The sequence below is a fragment of the Homo sapiens genome, chromosome 14 (genome assembly GCF_000001405.40).
Source record: "Homo sapiens chromosome 14, GRCh38.p14 Primary Assembly".
Classification (NCBI taxonomy): domain Eukaryota; kingdom Metazoa; phylum Chordata; class Mammalia; order Primates; family Hominidae; genus Homo; species Homo sapiens.
In genome coordinates, this window is record NC_000014.9 from 45,413,279 (window position 1) to 45,435,668 (window position 22,390).

The 22,390-nt window shown below is 37.4% G+C and overlaps 1 long non-coding RNA gene across 1 annotated transcript in view; it reads left to right on the forward strand.

The window, feature by feature from the left end:
• The window catches only part of LOC105370476 (uncharacterized), a 166,495-nt gene that overhangs the window by 9,926 nt on the left and 134,179 nt on the right, over nt 1-22,390 (forward strand). The window contains exon 2 of the long non-coding RNA XR_943820.3: nt 4,940-5,062. This is a non-coding gene — a long non-coding RNA (uncharacterized LOC105370476). The remainder of the gene's footprint in view (nt 1-4,939; nt 5,063-22,390) is intronic.

Here is a 22,390-nt window from a genome sequence, read left to right on the forward strand (position 1 = left end):
AATTTCATATCCTGTCAAACTAAGCTTCATAAGTGAAGGAGACATAAAATCCTTTACAGACAAGCAAATGCAGAGAGATTTTGTCACCACCAGGCCTGCCTTACAAGAGCTCCTGAAGGAAACATAGAAAGAAACAACCAGTACCAGCCATTGCAAAAACATGCCAAATTGTAAAAACCATCAATGCTATGAAGAAACTGCATCAAGTATGAAGCAAAATAACCAGCTAACATCATAATGACAGGATCAAATTCACACATAACAAAATTAACCTTATATGTAAATAGGCTAAATGCCCCAATTGAACTGGCAAATTGGATAAAGAGTCAAGACCCATCAATGTGCTGTATTCAGGAGACCCATCTCACGTGCAGAGACACACAGGCTCAAAATAAATGGATGGAGGAAGATCTACCAAGCAAATGGAAAGCAAAAAAAAACAAAAAAAAAAAAACAAAAAAAAAAACAGGGGTTGCAATCCTAGTCTCTGATAAAACTGACTTTAAACCAACAAAGATCAAAAGAGACAAAGAAGGCCATTACCTAATGGTAAAGGGATCAATTCGACAAGAAGAGCTAACTATCCTAAATATATATGCCACCAATACAGGAGCACCCAGATTCATAAAGAAAGTGCTTAGAGACCTACAAAGAGACTTAGACTCCCACACAGTAATAGTGGGAGACTTTAACACCCCACTGTCAATATTAGACAGATCAATGAGACAGAAGGTTAACAAGGATATCCAGGACTTGAACTCAGCTCTGCACCAAGCAGACCTAATAGACATCTACAGAACTCTCCACCCCAAATCAATAGAATGTACATTCTTAGCACCACATCACACTTATTCCAAAATTGACCACATAGTTGGAAGTAAAGCACTCCTCAGCGAATGTAAAAGAACAGAAATTATAACAAACTGTCTCTCAGACCACAGTGCAATCAAACTAGAACTCAGGATTAAGAAACTCACTCAAAACTGCACAACTACATGGGAACTGAACAACCTGCTCCTGAATGACTACTGGGTAAATAATGAAATGAAGGCGGAAATAAAGATGTTCTTTGAAACCAATGAGAACAAAGACACAACGTACCAGAATCTCTGGGACACATTTAAAGCAGTGTGTAGCGGGAAATTAACGCCCACAAGAGAAAGCAGGAAAGATCTAAAATGGACACCCTAACATCACAATTAAAAGAACTAGAGAAGCAAGAGCAAACACATTCAAAAGCTAGCAGAAGGCAAGAAATAACTAAGATCAGAGCAGAACTGAGAGATAGAGACATAAAAAACCCTTCAAAAAATCAATGAATCCAGGAGCTGGTTTTCTGAAAAGATCAACAAAATTGATAGACCACTAGCAAGACCAATAAAGAAGAAAAGAGAGAAGAATCAAATAGACTCAATAAAAAATGATAAAGGGGATATCACCACTGATCCCACAGAAATACAAACTACCATCAGAGAATACTATAAACAATTATGCACAATTAAACTAGAAAATCTAGAGGAAATGGATAAATTCCTGGACACATACACCCTCCCAAGACAAAACCAGGAAGAAGTGGAATCTCTGACTAGACCAATAACAAGCTCTGATACTGAGGCAATAATTAAGAACCTACCAATCAAAAAAAGTCCAGGACCAGACGGATTCACAGCCGAATTCTACCAGAAGTACAAAGAGTAGCTGGTACCATTCCTTCTGAAACTATTCTAATCAATAGAAAAAGAGGGAATCCTCCCTAACTCATTTTATGAGGCCAGCACCATCCTGCTACCAAAGCCTGGCAGAGACACAACAAAAAAAGAGAATTTTAGACCAATATCCCTGATGAACATCGATGTGAAAATCTTCAGTAAAATGCTGGCAAACTGAATCCAGCAACACATCAAAAAGCTTATCCAGCATGATCAACTCAGCTTCATCTCTGGGATGCAAAGCTGGTTCAACATACACAAATCAATAAACATAATCCATCACATAAACAGAACCAATGACAAAATCGCATGATTATCTCAATAGATGCAGAAAAGGCCTTCGACAAAATTCAACAGCCCTTCATGCTAAAAACTCTCAATAAACTAGGTATTGATGGAACGCATCTCAAAATAATAAGAGCTGTTTATGACAAACCCACAGCCAACAACATACTGAATGGGCAAAAACTGGAAGCATTCCCTTTGAAAACTGGCACAAGACAAGGATGCCCTCTCTCACCACTCCTATTCAACATAGTGTTGGACGTTCTGGCCGGGGCAATCAGGCAAGAGAAAGAAATAAAGGGTATTCAGTTAGGACAAGAGGAAGTCAAATTGTCCCTGTTTGCAGATGACATGATTGTATATTTAGAAAACCACATCATTTCAGCTCAAAGTCTCCTTAAGCTGATAAGCAACTTCAGCAAAGTCTCAGGATACAAAATCAATGTGCAAAAATCACAAGTATTCATATACACCAATGACAGACAAATAGAGAGCCAAATCATGAGTGAACTCCCATTCACAATTGCTTCAAGGAGAATAAAATACCTAGGAATCCAACTAACAAGGGATGGAAAGGACCTCTTCAAGGAGAACTACAGCGCACTGCTCAACAAAATAGAACAGGACACAAAGAAATGGAAGAACATTCCATGCTCATGGACGGAAAGAATCAATATAGTGAAAATAGCCATACTGCCCAAGGTAATTTATAGATTCAATGCCATCCCCATTGAGCTACCAATGACTTTCTTCACAGAATTGGAAAAAACTACTTTAAAGTTCATATGGAACCAAAAAAGAGCCCACATTGCCAAGACAATCCTAAGCAAAAAGAACAAAGCTGGAGGCATCACACTACCTGAATTTCAACTATACTACAAGGCTACTGTAACCAAAACAGCATGGTACTGGTTCCAAAACAGAGATATAGACCAATGGAAGAGAACAGAGGCCTCAGAAATAATACCACACATCTACAACCATGTGATCTTTGACAAATATGGCAAAAACAAGCAGATTGAGGAAAGGATTCCCTATTTAACAAATGGTGCTGGGAAAACTGGCTAGCCATATGTAGAAAGCTGAAACTGGATCCCTTCCTTACACCTTATACAAAAATTAATTCAAGATGGATTAAAGACTTAAATGTTAGATCTAAAACCATAAAAACCCTAGAAGAAAACCTAGGCAATACCATTCAGGACATAGCCATGGGCAAGGACTTCATAACTAAAACACGAAAAGCAATGGCAACAAAAGCCAAAATTGACAAATGGGATCTAATTAAACTAAAGATCTTCTGCATGGCAAAAGAAACTACCATCAGAGTGAACAGGCAGCCTACAGAATGGGAGAAAATTTTTGCAATCTACCCATCTGACAAAGGGCTAATATCCAGAATGTACAAAGAACTCAAACAGATTTACAAGAAAAAGAAAACAAAAAACAACCCCATCAAAAGTGGGCGAAGGATATGAACAGACACTTCTCAAAAGGAGACATTTATGCAGCCAATTGATACATGAAAAAATGCTTATCATCTCTGGTCATCAGAGAAGAGCATATCAAAACCACAATGAGGTACCATCTCACACCAGTTAGAATGGTGATCATTAAAAAGTCAGGAAACAGCTGGGCAGGGTGGCTCATGCCTGTAATCCCCACACTTTGGGAGGCTGAGGCGTGTGTATCATGAGGTCAGGAGATCAAGACCATCCTGACTAACATGGTAAAACCCCATCTCTACTAAAAATACAAAAAATTAGCTGGGTGTGGTAGGGCACCTATAGTCCCAGCTACTTGGGAGGCTGAGGCAGGAGAATGGTGTGAACCCGGGAAGCGGAGCTTGCAGTGAGCTGAGATGGCACCACTGCACCCCAGCCTGGGCGACAGAGCGAGACTCCATCTCAAAAGAAAAAAAAAAAAAGTCAGGGAATAACAGCTGCTGGAGAGGATGTGGAGAAATAGGAATGCTTTTACACTGTTGGTGGGACTGTAAACTAGTTCAACCATTGTGGAAGACAGTGTGGCGATTCCTCAAGGATCTAGAGCTAGAAGTGCCATTTGACCCAGCAATCCCATTACTTGGTATATACCCAAAGGATTATAAAGCATGCTACTATAAAGACACATACACACGTATGTTTATTGTGGCACTATTCACAATAGCAAAGACTTGGAACCAACCCAAATGTCCATCAATTATAGACTGGATTAAGAAAATGTGGCACATATACACCATGGAGTACTATGCAGCCAAAAAAAAAAAGGATGAGTTCGTGTCCTTTGCAGGGACATGGATGAAGCTGGAAACCATCATTCTCAGCAAACTATCACAAAGACAGGAAGCCAAACACAGCATGTTCTCCCTCATAGGTAGGAATTGAACAATGAGAACGCTTGGACACAGGGTGGGGAACATCACACACAGGGGCCTATCTGGGAGTTGGAGTGCTGAGGCAAGGATAGCATTAGGAGAAATACCTAATGTAAATGACGAGTTGATGGGTGCAGCAAATCAGCATGGCACATGTATACCTATGTATCAAACCTGCACGTTGTGCACATGTACCCTAGAAGTTAAAGTATAATAATAATAATAAAAAGAAAACCTAGTTTAGGAGTATGCATCTGTAACAATAGCTGAGTCTTGGCCAATCTCAGCCGCCATACTTCAACCACTCATACACTGCTGAGTGTTCAAACTGTGTTCAAATAAGGCAAATTCGGAGCTGTAACCAATTCAGTTGTTTCTGTACCTCTCTTCTGATTTCTGTATGTTCCTTCCCTTTTTTTGTCTATAAATTTGTTCTTACCACGAGGCATCCCTGCAATCTCTCTGAATCTGCTGTGATGCTGGGGGCTGCTTGATTTACGAATTGTTCTTTGCTCAATTAAACTCCTTTAAATTTAATTCAGCTGAAGTTTTTTTTTTTTTTTAACAGATGGTGTTAGAAGTGGGGTCTGAAGTAGAGCCTCTATAAGAACCCCAGGAGTGCTGAGTGAACAAGCAAGGTATCTGCTGGAGCTACTTGTGTCCTTTGATCTCTCAGCAGCTGGAGATCATGGTAAGTTCTCTCTCAGATTTCAGAGCTCCATGGATTTGTGTTTTGAGCTCTCTAAGTTTCTTTGAGCAAATTTCTGTTCCAAACTGGGTTTGGAAGTTGCGACAGATATTAGACTGGGTTCAGGATGGGATTTGATCCAGTAATTAACTGATTTGGATCCAGTAACAGGCCACTTACATCTGACTGGGTTGGAGATAAACTGGTAGTAAATGGTAATATTGCAGGGGCTGTAAAATTTGGCTTTTGAAAATTCACAGGGATTTTTGTGTTCTACCCCTTTGTTTCATTTTTCTTGCATGCTTAGGTAGAAAAAAAATCATTGGCTAAGTTCACTAACGGAACCTGAAAGCAAAGCCGATATTTTAGTTAAAAATAGAATTCTTAATTTCTGGAAAACTGAGTTCCTTCTGGCTTATATGTTAGGCCTGGGAGGGAGCAAAGTCTTACGGAAATGGCAAAACATTACTAAAGGTAACTTACAGTGGAACATTCCAAATGAACAACAGTGCATTGAAGTGCATTAAAAAAAAAAAAGTAAAAAAGGAAAGATGGCTCCCAAATTAGTCTCATCTAGGGATGCCAATTGATATGCAGAAGCTTCTAAAAAGATTTCAATATTTTTTTTTTTTTTTTTTTTTTTTGAGACGGAGTCTCGCTCTGTGGCCCAGGCGGGAGTGCAGTGGCGCAATCTCGGCTCACTGCAAGCTCCGCCTCCCGGGTTCACGCCATTCTCCTGCCTCAGCCTCCCGAGTAGCTGGGACTACAGGCGCCCACCATCACGCCCGGCTAATTTTTTTTGTATTTTTAGTAGAGACGGGGTTTCACCGTGTTAGCCAGGATGGTCTCGATCTCCTGACCTCGTGATCCGCCCGCCTCGGCCTCCCAAAGTGCTGGGATTACAAGCGTGAGCCACCGCGCCCGGCCAGATTTCAATATTTTTATTTAAAGCACACATATTTTGCTCTGGCCAGAATGGAAAATGTTAATTTGGTTACCCCATGCCACCCCCTGGGTAGCATCTTGCAAAAGTAAGAGGATTTTGCTTGTGGTTCTGTGATTTTCCATTGTGATGCAGCTTGCCTCTCAGTGGTTGCTAGGGCCACTCAGGGAAGAGGAACTCCAAAACCTGACATGTTGGCAAAAAGGTAAGAATTGCTTACCAGTTAGACTTCTGGCCTCTCTGTCTCTGTGCAAACCTGTTGAATGAATAATAAAGATTCCTGTTTATATCCTCTGTAAAATTTTGATTAATTGAAAAAAAGCATTTGTGAGGCTAGTCTCAAGCTGTAGCCAATCTGGTGTGCTTTTTATGTCTTTCTGTATGGTTCTGTCATAAGGAGGAATATCTTAAGCTAGAACATGGGCTTAGGACCCCATAACCCCGCTGTTCAAGCCAGCCTGGCAAACTGATCAGTTACAAACTTTGCTACACGTCTCTGAAAACACACCCACACCCACACACCCCCCAAAACTGGATAGGTCTCCATTTTGTTTTACGTGCTTGGGAGCTTGACTTTGTTACCATGTGGCAGTACTTTCTTTTGGTCTCTGCCATTTTACAATGGTGGCCCAGGTTCAATTCTGGCTTAGGGAATGAGTACTCTGGTTGATATCTGTGTGACCTTTACCATTTGCTGATTCCCCTCCACGAACAACTTCTAGTTTCCCTTCTTATACCTTCCTTTCTCTGAGCTATGTTTAAAGATTCTAGATTGTAAAAACTGCTTACCACTTCTTTGAAAATACCTCGTGCACTCATGATTAAGTCATAACCTTAATTGAAGCTTTTTGGTTTCACTTGTGAGGTTACTTTTGGTAAAGTTTAAAAGCCAGAAATATTGTCCACTTGGTGTGGCTTAAGTCGGGTAATAAGAGATTTAAAAATACTTTTATAAAGAGGGTTATTTTTAAAAGTCACCTTAATTAATAGTGGATATTCAAGCTCTAACAATTTGGGACTCCTTGGGAAAAGCAAAGGAGGCACCATAGATCCTGTTTTGAAAAAAACCCTCTGTTTTTGTCATGAAAACTTAGGAATTAAAAGTGGATATATCTTCCTCAAAATCTAAGACTCTGCTCTGTTTTGCATTGCATTATCTGATGTTTTTGACTTTTGGGCGTATCACAAATTACTTTGCATTATGAGAGAGCTTTGGTGTGTAACAACTAAGTAGGAGATATACTTTTAAGGATAGGCTGATTGCAGAATGTGCTAATTGGCTTTGGGATGCTATGTGATAAAATGCACAGTAAAAGCATTGCACTGTCTTGTCGCATAGCATTTCCTTCCTTTTTGGGATCCAGGATGTGATGTAAAAATGGGACCTTTAATTTTTGAGATTTGTTTTTGTCTTCCACCTGTGCCTGCTTATTAGGCCATAAAAACTGCATGCTTTAAAGAGAAACTTAGAAACTGGCAAATGAAAAAATCTTACAGTTACTGGATCTTCTTCTGTCTATCTGAGTAGTTATATATGTGTCATGTGTGTAATGTTTATATAAAAGAGCTCTAATTAACTGTATTAAAGAAAAATAAGTGCTTAGATCAAATATTTTATAAGAAAAATAAAAACTAGGCTGGGCGTGGTGGCTCACGCCTGTAATCCTAGCGCTTTGGGAGGCCAAGGTGGGTGGATTGCCTGAGCTCAGGAGTTGGAGACCAGCCCTGGCAACACAGTGAAACCCTGTCTCTACTAAAATACAAAAAATTAGCCAGGAGTGGTGGTGTGTGCCTGTAATCCCAGCTACTTGGGCGGCTGAGCCAGGAGAGTCACTTGAACCTGGGAGGCAGAGGTTGCAGTGAGCCAAGATTATGCCATTGCACTCCAGCCTAGGCCACAGAGCAAGACTCTGTCTCACAAAAAAAAAAAAAAAAAAAGAAAGAAAAATAAAAACTGTAATGACTTTTAGTTTATGTGACTTTAGTAATCTTTGGGAAATAAAAATTTTAAAGATTATTGGCAAAAATAAAGACATTTGGTCTAAATTAGGCAGGTCAGATATTAAGTTTGCTAAGTGCTTTAAGATCATAAACTGCTTCTTTGACTTTTAAAAATTGTTCCCTAATTTACCTAGTTTGGAGCATTTGATTCTAGATAAGGCTTTGAGATGTGTGGAAAGCCATGGTCCTAGCTACGCTGGAAAGAGTCAGACCTTGTCTGGTGTCCTAGGCTCCACACCTAGTACACAATTAAAATCCTTCACTTACCAAGATTTTTCACCAATATTAAAAATTGCTAAGAGTTACCATTATAACAAATGAGACCACCAAAAAAATTGTTCTATATGCAAGGTGTGTGAGGAGAGTGAAATGTGTTTTTTTGGTAAAAATTATAAGAAGGCATGGGAATATACATTTTTGCCTAGTTCAGAGGGTTAAAGGATTGTTTTAAACTGGATGAGATAAAGCTAAAGGTTTAAACAAATTGTGAAAGGTTTGTAAAGATCATTCTTGTAAAGAAACTGTGAACATATTGACTAAATTTAAAGGTTTTTCTGTAAATTAAACATTAAAATAAAAGCACAATGGGTTTTTCTAGAACACTAATCTCTTTAACAAAAATTTATAAAGGGTTATAAAAGATGTATGAGAACTTTACATTGTGGTCAAACTGATTAAGATTGAATCAATTTGTTTATAAGGTTTTATTAAGAATTAGGGTTGACATTAGTGATACACTGATGCAAGGGTGAAATTTAGCTTTCTCTTGAACAAGATTTTCATGTAATATTAGGATAATGAAAGATTATTGTTTGCCTTTTGAATAAACTACTGAAAAAAGAAGGGAAAGAAAAGACACAGATTGTTTGGAAAGCTAAGTCCTCCCTCTATCAATGAGTAAAGGTTTTTGCCTTTTTAACAATGTTCAAGTCATCATTTTGGCGAAATGAATGACTTATGGTAACCTGGAATTCTGTTTCATAGAATCAAGTGTTTTAAACCTTTAACATATTTGATAGGCTTTCCAAAATAAAATTTCAGCTTCAAAATTGTATTTTCTGACCTCTAACTTTGAGATCCTACAGAGGGCCCCTGAAGCATCCAAAAGAGAGATAAATAGGGCTATTTGACATGTTAAGTTCCATGGGAAGCATTGTCAAAATAAAAGATAATGATTAACCTTCTTCAGGTTGTATTTTCGTGTATGTCATCGATATGTTCCAAAACTGTATGGGATTTCTAAAATTTTAATATGTCTGAGTATATGTTATCAGTCATAATTATGGTTATTAGGTTGTTACCATAAACCATAGAAATAACCAAATTTCCTTATCAATTGTGTTTTTGACTATTACTATTTAAAGTCATTTCCACAGTTAATTGCTTAATGCTGTTGCAGTTTCTGAAAACTTCACAAGCACACAAAATCCTTGAATATGGTGTCTTTTAGGAGATTCATGAAAGGCTAGAAATGCTCCTGAAAAGCACTCTTGAATACAGGTTTCTAATAATTTTAGAATCATATTATTTGAACTGGGTAATGAAAAGACTGACTGGGTTATAAAACTGCTAAACCAAGTAGAACAAAAATTAATTAAATACCAAGAAAATGCCTTGCCAGATTTTCATGCTAAATTAGCTGATACTAAAATTATTTAGATATACAATTTGAATGAACTCATGGTCTAAGTCAATTTATTTACGATAACCCATCAGTTTTCAGTGCTATGCACCTAATTTGGAGAAGCAACCAGTATTCAAGAGGATGTAAGTCTAATGTTAATTAAGCATGGACATATGGAGAACCAGGATGGCCACCGTGTTCTTCCCGAGTCCTTAAAGCTTTTGTTATTAAAGGTTCTGCATTCCATGACTCATCATGGAAAAGATAAAATTAAAGGTCCAAATTAAATATATATTGGTGTGGTGACTTCTAAATTGCTAAAATAGTTTATGACCAATGTTTGGTTTGTCAAACTCATATTCCTGGGAAGACAATCAAAGCTTCAGGTACATTTGGCTACCTAATGGACTCTTTAAATATTTATAAAGGGATTTCATTCAATTGTCATTTTCAATGCATTTTTTCTGGTTGTTTAAAAGCTTTCCCATGCAAGAGGGCTGATATTATAAAGTGAATTATTATACTACAGTGTATTTTCATCAGGTAAAGAAAGCTTTTTATGATTCACTGATTGAGGACAATCAACCCCTTCACAATCTAGAACTCAAAGATTGACTCTTCCGATAACATCAGAGAAAGACTGCCCTTGATGTCTATACTACAGCAAAACTTTGGGCCTTGAACCATGGGTTCATAATCTCACAACTGAAAAGGGGGTCCCTGCATACTCTTGGAACAGTACACTCATTGGAACCCTTAAGGTAAAGCTAACCACAGAAATTTCTGCCCAGAAGAGGATGGCATCCTTGATGTGAACAGCTTTTTCCAAGATCATGGGTCAAGACTTTTACTATTACGAGACTCTTATCTTTGGATATTTTTTTCCTTGCTTATGCCTTTATGAACAATAGAAGTGAAAAGGGAGTCTGTTATGTGCATGTATTTACTTTTATTTATGAATTATTTTGCAGCCAGCCTTAATACATGGATAACCTTATACTTTGATAAAGATGAAGACCCAATGTAGGTGAGAAACTTTAATGGTACATACATTGCCTCATAATCAGTCAGAAACAGAACATTGGTTCACTTCTCTTAACCCATATTATGGTTAAAGGGAACATTGCCAGGAGGCCTTTACTCTTCTAGAAGGGCATAGTACGTTTTTTTTTTTTTTCCCATAGTTGGAGTAAAAGAGGCAATGATTAGAAATGTCTCCCTTATGAGAGGAACTACAGTAGATTCTACTGTACAGGCTATAGTTACACAACAGACTTTAAATTCTCATGTGAAAATGATGCTAAATAATAGAATTGGCTAAATAGAGAAGTATATGTGCAGCTGCTGGCACTTATGGCCTATGGAGAAGACACTGGGTATTATAGAGATTCAGTTGTAGGGGATTAATGAAAAGACTAGTTAGTTAAGCAACTAGACTCTTTATCTAGCTCATTCTTTGATCTATTTGATTTTAGGTGGTTTGGTTTATGGGAACCCATGGTAAGGAGCATACTCCAAACTCTTGGTATTATCCTCTCAATAGTCATAATATTCTCTGGTGCACTGTATTCTCTCAAATGTTTTAAGTGTTTGCATGCAGCCATGTCTAGAATGCCAAATGGTCTCTCTTCAACTGGAATGACAAGAACTGAAAGAAATGTGTGACCATGAGGACACTGTAGCTTATGAATGACAACCTGAGACCAGAAACCCAAAATGATGGTAACTGAGAGTGGCACTGAGTGACTAAATTTTGGTAACACTCTCACCTAAGTGAGAACCTGATGAAAAAGTTTTTGGTTTTTTTTTTGTCTTTTTTTTTTTGAGATGGAATCTCACTCTGTCGCCCAGGCTGGAGTGCAGTGGCATGATCTCCGCTCAATGTAACCTCTGCCTCCTGGGTTCAAGTGATTATCCTGCCTCAGCCTCCTGAGTAGTTGGGACTCCAGGGATGTGCTGCCACACTCAGCTAATTTTTGTATTTTTAGCAGAGGTGGGCTTTCACCATGTTGACCAGGCTGGTCTTGAATCCCTGACCTCAGGTGATCCTTCTGCTTTGGCCTCCCAGAGTGCTGGGATTACAGGGGTGAGCCACCATGCCCGGCCAGATTTTTTTTTTAAAACAAAATTATGGATGTCCATTGTTTTGGATTGAGCTTATGCACTAGGCCCCAAGAAACCAAACCAAACAAAAATGGAGTTGCTTTTGCTAAATGTGACATAATCAAACTGACACTTTAAGTAAACTCATAGATCCTAGAATGAACCAGGTTTTGTTTTTCTCCTGTAAACAGGATGCTGCAGCATAAAGAGGTACCCTCTACTCAGTCCTTGTTCCTACCTTTGAAAAATTCACTGTTCTACTGTTTCCAAGTGGGTTTCAAAACCAAAAAGTATATTAATGATGGTAATATGACATCAATAATTGAAGTTTTGGTCAATCTCTCAAAATTGAGAAAATGACCAAAAGGGGAGAATTGTTAAAGCAAACTAAATGTGGCCTGAGAATATACTTCTATATTTGAGTCCTTGTGGATGAACTGCAAACTAGCTTGATAGGTAGACAAGATTGAAAACCTAACTTTGGCGTATGCAACAATAGCTGAGTCTTGGCCAATTCCAGCAGCCATACTTCAACCACTCATACACTGCTGAGTGTTCAAACTGTGTTCAAATAAGGCAAATGCCGAGCTGTAACCAATCCAGTTGTTTCTGTATCTCACTTCTGATTTCTGTATGTCACTTTCCTTTTTTTTTTTGTCTATAAATTTGTTTTTACCACGAGGCATCTCTGTAGTCTCTCCAAATCTGCTGTGATTCTGGGGGCTACCTGATTCACAGATCGTTCTTTGCTCAATTAAACTCCTTTAAATTTAATTCAGCTGAAGTTTTTCTTTTAACAAGGGAATGCTTTCAATTTTTCCCCATTAAGTATGATGTTGGTTGTGGTTTTGTCATACATGACCTGTATTGTGTTGAGGTACATTCCTTCTATGCCTAGCTTGTTGAAAATTTTTATCATGAAGGGTGTGCTGAATTTAATCAAATCCTTTTTCTGTATTGAGATGATCATATGGTTTTTGTTTTTAATTCTGTTAATATGATATATCATATTTATTGATCTGCATATGTTGAACCATCCTTGCATTCCTGTGATGAATCCCACCTATTCATGGTATATTATCTTTTTGATGTGCTGTTGAATTTGGTTTGCTAGTATTCTGTTGAGGAATTTTACATCTGTGTTCATCAGGGATATTGGTCTGTAGTTTTCTTTTTTTTATTTTATCCTTATCTGATTTTGGCATGAGGGAGGTACTGACATTGTGGAATGAGTTAAAGAAAATTCATTCCTCCTTGATTTTTTGGAATAGTTTCAAGAGGATTGGTATTAATTCTTTGTATATTTGATAGAATTTGGCTGTGAATTCATCTGGTCCTCGGCTGTTTTTTTTGGTTGAGAGGTTTTTATATTCCTGATTAAATCTCGCTATTCGTTATTGGTCTGTTCAGGAGTTAGTTCTATTTCTTCCTGTTTCAATCTTGGTAGGTTGTGTGTTTCCAGGAATTTATCTATTTCATCTAGATTTTCTAGTTTGTGAGCTTATAGTTGTTCATAATAGGAGGAGGAGAAGATTCTTACTGATAATTTGGATACTGAAGGTGAAAGAATGTTAGGAATAAAATAAAATTGAGGAATATAAATGATACAATGTTAAAAGAAGACAGAGGAAACTTATGGGGAGATAGATTCTAAGACTTGAACAGGATGAAAATCAGACTTGGTGCCTGGCTGCCAAGCTGTAGTATTTTCCAGAAGCAGCTATGTTTCTCTGATTGAAACATGTGGGAATGTACCAGGGTGCATTTCCCTGATTGAAACACGTGGAAATATACTCAGGAACCTCCTTACTGCTCAGATTTCACTCACAAACTCAAACCTCAGGATTTTTTCAATACAACCACTAGGTGGCACTAATGGTACATTCTCTATATAAAGCTGCTATTAACTTGAAGGATCTCTTTCCTGTTGCTGAATTTGCTCTGGGGTCACAGTAGGGGATCCTAGTTCTAGTACCTCCTGGCTATACCATGAGTAAATGATTTAATACTAATATAACCCGTGTGTTCTTAGAGGAAATGACTTTTATTCTGAGTCTTCCTAGAGAATGTGACTTAAAAATTTATTGAGCACACTTCCCCTATATTTGTAAAATAATAACATAACTTTAAGTCAAGATTGGTCTGTGAGCAACTTGCTTTTTTTGTATGTGCTTTCAGATGGACAAGTATTGTAGAAGGATTTTTTTTTTCCTGCAGTATCTCCACAGGAGAAGAAGAGAATCTCTTAGATTAATCCCTCAGGGGCAGATTTCTTGGTATTTAGTTGATTTTTAATTATACTTATGGTACAAGGACTTGACTGAAAACCTTTTAAGGCATTATGGCTGGCATTATCTTTGAAACAATATTTCTATATTTTTTATCACCGCCTACTCAAGCAAGCAGTCAATTTTGGGCTCATTGCTTCAGAGGAGGAATGTAGCAGGACAGGAAATAGATGCATGTTGTGAATCTCTCTGAGTATTGTGTTTCAAAATTCTAAATCTTAATATGAAGAGGATTTATGGGAATAGAACAAGTGCTGATCAGAAGCTGGGAAGACATCAAGGTTATATACCATGTCCCAGACTAGAAAGAACTTTCTTCAGGATGGGAAGTAAAAAGGGATAGAGGCCCATGGGACCAGGGAAAAGAGGGACCTGGGGCAAGAAGGACCTAGGGCTTGCTTCCAGTGCCATTAGGGTGGCTGCAAAACCCTACAGAGGGAGTGGGAATCCTCTGGCATTATATAACATTTCTCTCCCAAAGTTGTTTATGGAAATGGCAGAGAGCCATAAAAACTGAAGAGGCCAAGTCATCAGAGATAATGAATGTCACAGTAACAAACCACCCGTGTGGACTGGGCCATTCCTTATTAATCACTTCCCCCACAAACTCCAGTGCCTTGGCACTTCATATAAATTTGGGAAAGGGTAAGACTAGCATCAAGTATTTTCTATTACTCCATATCCTGGGGGCTTGGGATAAAAGTTGTTGTAGAAAAGAAATGTATTTTTCTTATACATCTGAATATGTGGACTGGGTTTTATTCTTCCTCTTCTGGGAGGTCTTTTCTCTGTTTAGTTTAGTATCCTGGAATTCTAATTTTTCCCAGCATGGCTGAGACACCACCACCTCCTTTGAATGCTTTTGCTCAGTGGGGTTGAAAGTGATCTTTTCTTTGGAACTTTTGAAACATGTCAGTTGCCTTACAGGATACTTCTCCATCCTAATTCGAATTGTGGTTATTCAAGAACATGGCATCACAGCAAGGATCATAGTATATGCATGGTTTAAATTGCCATCACATTTAATATAATATGTAGTGAATTGATATTTGCTAATGTCAGGGAGTAAGTACAGTAGTATAGTCATATTAATAGTAGTTTGAAGTGAAGCAGCAGATTCACATGGAGCTACATCGGGCTAAAATCTCATGCATTTAAATATTCTTCAGTGGATTGTTAGGTTCTGGGAGATTTTCTTTTTCTTTCTTCTCTTTGATGTTCTAACTACTAATATAAATGCCACTGCAATTAAGGTCAGGAATATTTACCATGATGTCATGCTCTGTTATCATTGAGAAATTATGGTTGCATAGGAATCTATGTAATATCTGAAAGACATATAATTTTCGTTTCTTTAAAAAATGTTGATCAATTTTATAAAATGATGCAGGATTGTTGAAAAAAATTGTAATATAGAGAAGTATAGCAAGAAATGTAAAAATCACCTGATACCATTTCAAAAGAAGGCAATTACTATTAACATTTATGGGGGCCCTTCCATCTCTCTCTCTCCATTTATATATTTACATATATAATTATTTCACATAAATAAGGCTGTGTCATACATGTTATGAGGTAACTGCTTTTTTCTACTTATCAATATATGCCTTTCTATGTCAATAAATAGGAATTTCTAAATAACTTTTAAAGACTGCATAGTTTTTCATCATATATAAGTACTCTGATTTATTTAAGTCATGTCCTTTTCATAGGCTACACACTAACTAGATTACCTTGGTAGATCCCAATATGTGCACAAATACAAGTTAACCTCAAATATAAATATACATATATAAACTTTTAAGGATCCAAATGAAATATTTCAGTTTATTTAAAAAATATTGAATTAGTTACACACAAACTTGAAATCTATTATTTTTAAATTATTCTTTTCCTAATTTTATAAAACTACTTCACTGTTGTTTTGAGAGGTCTATTTTGAGTCATTGATCATACATCTCCTGCACAAATAATCTTTTTTAAAAGATCAAAGTTGTTTCATTTACAGCACTTTTTGAATTACTGTATGTAGCAGTCATTGAAGTTTATCCCAACTTAAAGGACCTATTTGCTCTTTGTGATCTCTGCATGTTATCATTCACTTTACTGTTTTTTTGTTTGCATCACTTTAAAATTGTTTTCTATTTTAAATTTGAAATACATCACACATTTTGAACAGAGCAGAAAAATATTACATTTTAAAAATACTAATGATAATAATAATAACAAGAAAACAGATTTTTCTGGGTAGAGGATACATAATTTGCAGCCTTTTTTTGGGAGAAGATCAGAGCCCCTTTCAGTGTCTAATGAATGCTACAAACCTAATCTGATTAAGTAGCAGAGTTTATTGAAGGAAGGTAAAGTACATTTCTTTTTATTTTAAATTTCCAACTTTTATTTTAAGTTCAGGGTTACATGTGCAGGTTTGTTACATAGGTAAATGTGTACCATGGTGATTTGCTGCACAGATCATCTCATCACCTAGGTATTAAGCTCAGCGTCCATTAGCTATTTTTCTTGATGCTTTCCCTCCTCCCACCCCCCACCCTCTGACAGGCCCCAGTGTGTGTTGTTTTCTCCCACATGTCCATGTGTTCTCATCATTCAGCTCCCACTTATAAGTAAGAACACATGTATTTGGTTTTCTGTTCTCGCATTAGTTTGTTGATAATGGTCTCCAGCTCCATCCATGTCCCTGCAAATGACATGGTCTCATTTATGTGCCACATTTTTTTAATCCAGTTTATCACTGATGGCCATTTAAGTTGATTCCATGAGTTTGCTATTGTGAACAGTGCTGCAATGAACATACATGTACATGTATCTTTATAATAGAGTGGTTTATATTCTTTTTTTTTTTTTTGAGATGGAGTTAAACTCTTATTGCCCAGGCTGGGGTGCAATGGCATGATCTCAGCTCACTGCAACCTCTGTCTTCTGAGTTCAAGCGATTCTCCTGTCTCAGCCTCCCAAGTAGCTGGGATTACATATGCCAACCACTACGCCCAGCTGATTTTTGTATTTTTAATAGAGACAGGGTTTCACCATGTTGGCCAGGCTAGTCTTGAACTCCTGACGTCAGGTGATCCGCCTGCCTTGGCCTCCCAAAGTGCTGGGATTACAGGCATGAGCCACTGATCCCTGCCAGAATGGTTTATATTGTTTTACGTATATGTCCAATAATGAGATTGCTGGGTTGAATGGTATTTTTGCCTCTAGATCTTTGAGGAATTGCCACACTGTCTTCCACAATGGTTGAACTAATTTACACTCACAACAACAATGTATAACCATTCCTTTTTCTCCACAACCTCGCCAGCATCTGTTTTTTGATTTTCTAGTAATAGCCACTCTGACTGGTGTGAAATGGTATCTCATTGTGGTTTTGATTTGCATTTATCTAATGATCAGTGATGGTGAGCTTTTTTTCATATGATTGTTGGCCACATGTATGTCTTCTTTTAAAACGTGCCTGTTTGTGTCCTTTGCCTACTTTTAATTGGGTTTGTATTTTTTCTTATAATTGAGTTTACGTTCTTTATAGATGCTGGATGTTAGACTTTTGCCAGATGCATTCTTTGCAAAATTTTTCTCCCACTCTGTAGGCTGTTTACTCTGTTGATAGTTTCTTTTGCTGTGCAGAAGCTCTTTAGAAGTGTAATTAGATCCCGTTCATCAATTTTTGCTTTTGTTGCAATTGCTTTGGTGTCTTGGTCATAAAATCTTTGTCCATGCCTATATCCTGAATGGTATTGCCTAGGTTTTCTTCTAGGGTTTTTGTAGTTTGAGGTTTTACATTTAAGTCTTTAATCCATATTGAGTTAATTTTTATATAAGATGTAAGGAAGAGGTCCAACTTCAGTTTTCTGCATATAGCTAGCCAGTTTTCCCAGCACCATTTATGAAATAGGGAATCCTTTTCCCATTGCTTTTGTCTGGTTTGTTGAAGATCAAATAGTTGTAGGTGTGTGGTCTTATTTCTGAGTTCTCTATTTTGTTCCATTGGTCTATGTGTCTGTTGTTGTACCAGTACCATGATGTTTTAACCAAAACCACTGTAACCACTGTAACGTTTTAGTATAGTTTGAAGTCGGGTAGCATGATTGTTTAGAATTGTCTTGGCTATTTGTGCTCTTTTTTGTTTCCATATGAATCCTAAAATAGTTTTTTCTAATTCTGTGAAGAATATCTGTGGTAGTTTAGTGGGAATAGCATTGAATCTATACATTACTTTGGGCAGTATGGCCATTTTAACGATACTGATTCTTTCTATCCATAAGCACAGAATGTTTTTCCATTTGTTTGTGTCCTTCTGATTTCTTTGAGCAGTGGTTTGTAGTTATCCTTGAAGAGGTCCTTCACTTTCCTTGTTATCTGTATTCCTAAGTATTTTATTCTTTTTGTAGCAATTGTGAATGGGAGTTCATTCATGATTCGGCTCTCTGCTTGCCTGTTGTTGTATAGGAAAGCTAGTGATTTTTGCCTATTGACTTTTGTACCCTGAGACTTTGCTGAAGTTGCTTATCAGCTTAAGAAGCTTTCGGGCTGAGACTATGGGGTTTTCTAGATATAGGATCATGTTATCTGCAAACAAAGATAATTTGACTTCCTCTCTTCCTATTTGAATACCCTTTATTTCTTTCTCTTGCCTGATTTTCCTGGCCAGAACTTCCAATACTATGTTAAATAGGAGTGGTGAGAGAGGGCATTCTTGTCTTGTGCTTGTTTTCAAGGGGAATGCTTCCAACTTTTGCCCATTCAGTATGATATTGGCTGTGGGTTTGGCATACATGGCTCTTACTATTTTTAGGAATATTTCTTCAATATCTAGTTTATTGGGAGTTTTTAAAATGAAGGGATGTTAAATTTTATCAAAGGCCTTTTCTGTATCTATTGAGATAATCATATGGTTTTTGTCTTTAGTTCTGCTTATGTAATGAATCACATTTATTGGTTTGTGTATGTTGAACCAACCTTGCATCCTGGGGATGAAACCAACTTGGTCATGTGGATAAGCTTTCGGATGTGCTGCTGGATTCAATTTGCCAGTATTTTATTGACATTTTTTGCATCGGTGTTTGTCAGGGATATTGGCCTGAAGTTTCCTTTCTTTTTTGTATCTCTGCTAGGTTTTGGTAGCAGGCTGATGCTGGTCTCATAGAATGAGTTATGGAAGAGTTCCTGTTTTTCAGTTTTTTGGAACAGTTTCAGTAGAAATAGTATTAGCTCTTCTTTGTACCTCTGGTAGAATTCAGCTGTACCTGTCTCTGGTCTTGGGCTTTTTTTGGTTGGTAGGCTATTGATTACAGCCTCAATTTCAGAATTAATTATTGGTCTATTCAGGGATTTAATTTCTTCCTAGTTCAATCTTGGGAGGGTGTATGCAGTATTTTCTAGTTTATATACATAGATGTGTTTGTAATATTCTCTGATGGTTGTTCATATTTCTGTGGGATCAGTGCTGATATCCTTATCATTTTGATTGCATTTATTTGAATCTTCTCTCTTCTTTATTAGTCTAGCTAGCAGTCTATCTATTTTATTATTATTTTTTAAAAAAGCAGCTCCTGGATTTGTTGATTTTTTAAAGGGTTTTTTGTGTCTCTATCTCTTTCAGTTCAGCTCTGATGTTGACTATTTCTTGTCTTCTGCTAGCTTTGGGCTTTGTTTGCTCTTGGTTCTCTAGTTCTTTTCATTTTGATGTTAGGTTGTTAACTTGAGATCTTTCTAACTTCTTGATGTTGGCATTTAGTCCTATAAGTTTCCCTCTTAATACTGCTTTAGCTGCATCCCAGAGATTCTGGTATGTTGTATCTTTGTTCTCATTAGTTTCAAAAAAAACTTCTTGATTTCTGCTTCTATTTCATTATTTAACCCCAAAGTGACTCAGGAGCAGGTTGTTCAGTTTCCATGTAGTTGTATGGTTTTGAGTGAATTTCTTAATCTTGAGTTCTAATTTGATTGTGCTGTGGTCTGAGAGTGTTATGATTTCAGTTCTTTCGCAATTGTTGAGGAGTGTTTTACTTCTTATTATGCGATCAATTTTAGAGTAAGTGCCATGTGGCAGTGCGAGGAATGTATATTCTGTTGTTTTTGGGTGGAGAGGTTCTGTAGATATTGATTAGGTCCACTTGATCCAGAGCTGAGTTCAGGTCCTGAATATCTTTGTTAATTTTCTGCCTTGATGATCTGCCTAATATTGTCAGTGGGATGTTAAAGTCTCCCACTATTATTATGTGGGAGTTGAAGTCTCTTAGACAGTCTCTAAGAACTTGCTTTATGAGTCTGGGTGCTCCTCTACTGGGTGCATATGTATTTTGGATAGTTAGCTCTTCTTGTTGAATGGAACCCTTTACCATTATGTAATGCCCTTCTTTGTCTTTTTTGATCTTTGTTGGTTTAAAGTCTGTTTTGTCAGAAACCAGGACTGAAACCTCTGCTTTTTTGTTTTCCATTTGCTTGGTAGGTTTTCCCTCATCCCTTTATTTTGAGCCTATGGGTGTCTTTGCATGTGAGATGGGTCTCTTGAAGATGGCATACCAATGGGTCTTGGTTCTTTCTCCAGATTGCCATTCTGTGTCTTTTAACTGTGGCAGTTAGCTCATTTACATTTAAGGTTAGTGTTGTTTTATGTGGATTTCAAGAGAGAAGTGGGCTGGCCTGACTGAAAAGTAGCGGCAGCAGCAGCAGCAGCAGGGTTTAAAGAGGCAGTACACTCTGAAAGATGAGGCAGATTGGGCTGCTTGAGAGAGTGAGCCAGGAGCAGTTAGTGCTGGGGGACTCTTTATGAGAATCTTACATGATTATTTATGAAGGGGCATGAGGGGGTATCACTTGTAATCATGTTTTAGGTGGTTTCCTTGGACCTGCATGTTTTGTGATTGTACATGGTAGTACACATGTTGTATGTCTCATTTGTATTTAAAATCTCCACCCAGGGTTTGTTTTTTACTATGATTATCAGTAAAAGGCTACTTACTCTAGGGTGAGTTACTGGGGGAGTGAGTGTACTCATGAGCAAGAAAAGTCTCTACCATGGTTATCTCTGGCTAGGGCCTGATAATTTCCCTTCAGATCCAGAGGAGCCCAAACACAAGGTCACAAGTAGTTAGTGTAGCCATTGTCTTTTTCGTTGACTGTCAGTTGAGCAGCACTGACTGTCAGTGGGAGGTGTCTCCAAGACTCTTCCTCAGGGCTTCTCCTGTCTGTTTATTTCTGGCTGTGTGCCTTCTCTAACAATGTTACAAATTCAAAATGCAAGATAGACCAATAGATTTTAGTATAACAGAGAAGTGTATTGTTATGGTTTCAGATTATATATTGTAATTAATATTTAAGGAACTTCTATTTGTTGAGTCTTGGTGTACAATTATCTGGAAAGGCTTTTAGAATACTCTGCCCTTTTCCAACTATATGGATTTTATTCATATAGGCTAGATTTATAGGCTAGATTTTATTCATATGCTTTAACATTAAACAACAGTTTATAACTGATTGAATGCAGAAGCAAGTATGAGAATCCAGCTGTTTTTTATGAAGCCACATGTTAAAGACGTTTTTGAAAATGTGAAACAAATGCCACTGCTTTCACTCAATATATTTGTTTTGGAAAATAAAGTTATTTCTCATAAAAATATGTTATTACTTTGCTGTAAGTAAATTATTATTTAAAATGACTCAATAAACATATAATTTCAAAACATCCTTGTGTTCATTTCTAAATTACATATTAATACATATAATCTACATAAACAAAAGATTTTTAAAGTTCTCAATAGTTATTAAGAGTACAAAAGGGTCCTGAAACCATACAGTTTGGGACAACTGAGATGGAGAGAGATGAAACTTAACTGGGTTATCAGGAAAGGCTTGTCTGTGGAGGTGACATTTGAGTTGAGAATTGAATTATGAGAAAGAAGCAAGGTAAAGATTTAGGAGAAGAGCATTCCAGGCAATGAGTGGAGGTGGGGAGCAGGCAGTGAAAAAACTCTGAGGAGAGAAAGAGTTTTGAGTGTTTCCAGGAATAAAGAAGCCAGTAGGACATCAGGTGAGAGTGTTGGGCCAGGATCAGGTCATCAGGGTCTTATAAATCACAATAAGACTGAATATGTAATGGGATTCTATTTGAGAGTTATAGGTAGGGTTGCAATAAGATCTGACTTTTGTCTTTAAAAGATCACGTTTTCTTTTTTTACCATATAAAAACTAGACTGTAGGTGTTGAGAGTAGAAGACATGTTTAAGTGTTAAAAAGCAGTTGCAGGCTGGGTGCCGTGGCTCACACTTGTAATCCTAGTACTTTGAGTGGCTGAAACAAGTGTATTGCTTGAGTCCACTAGCTCAAGACATGCCTGGGCAACATGGCAAAAC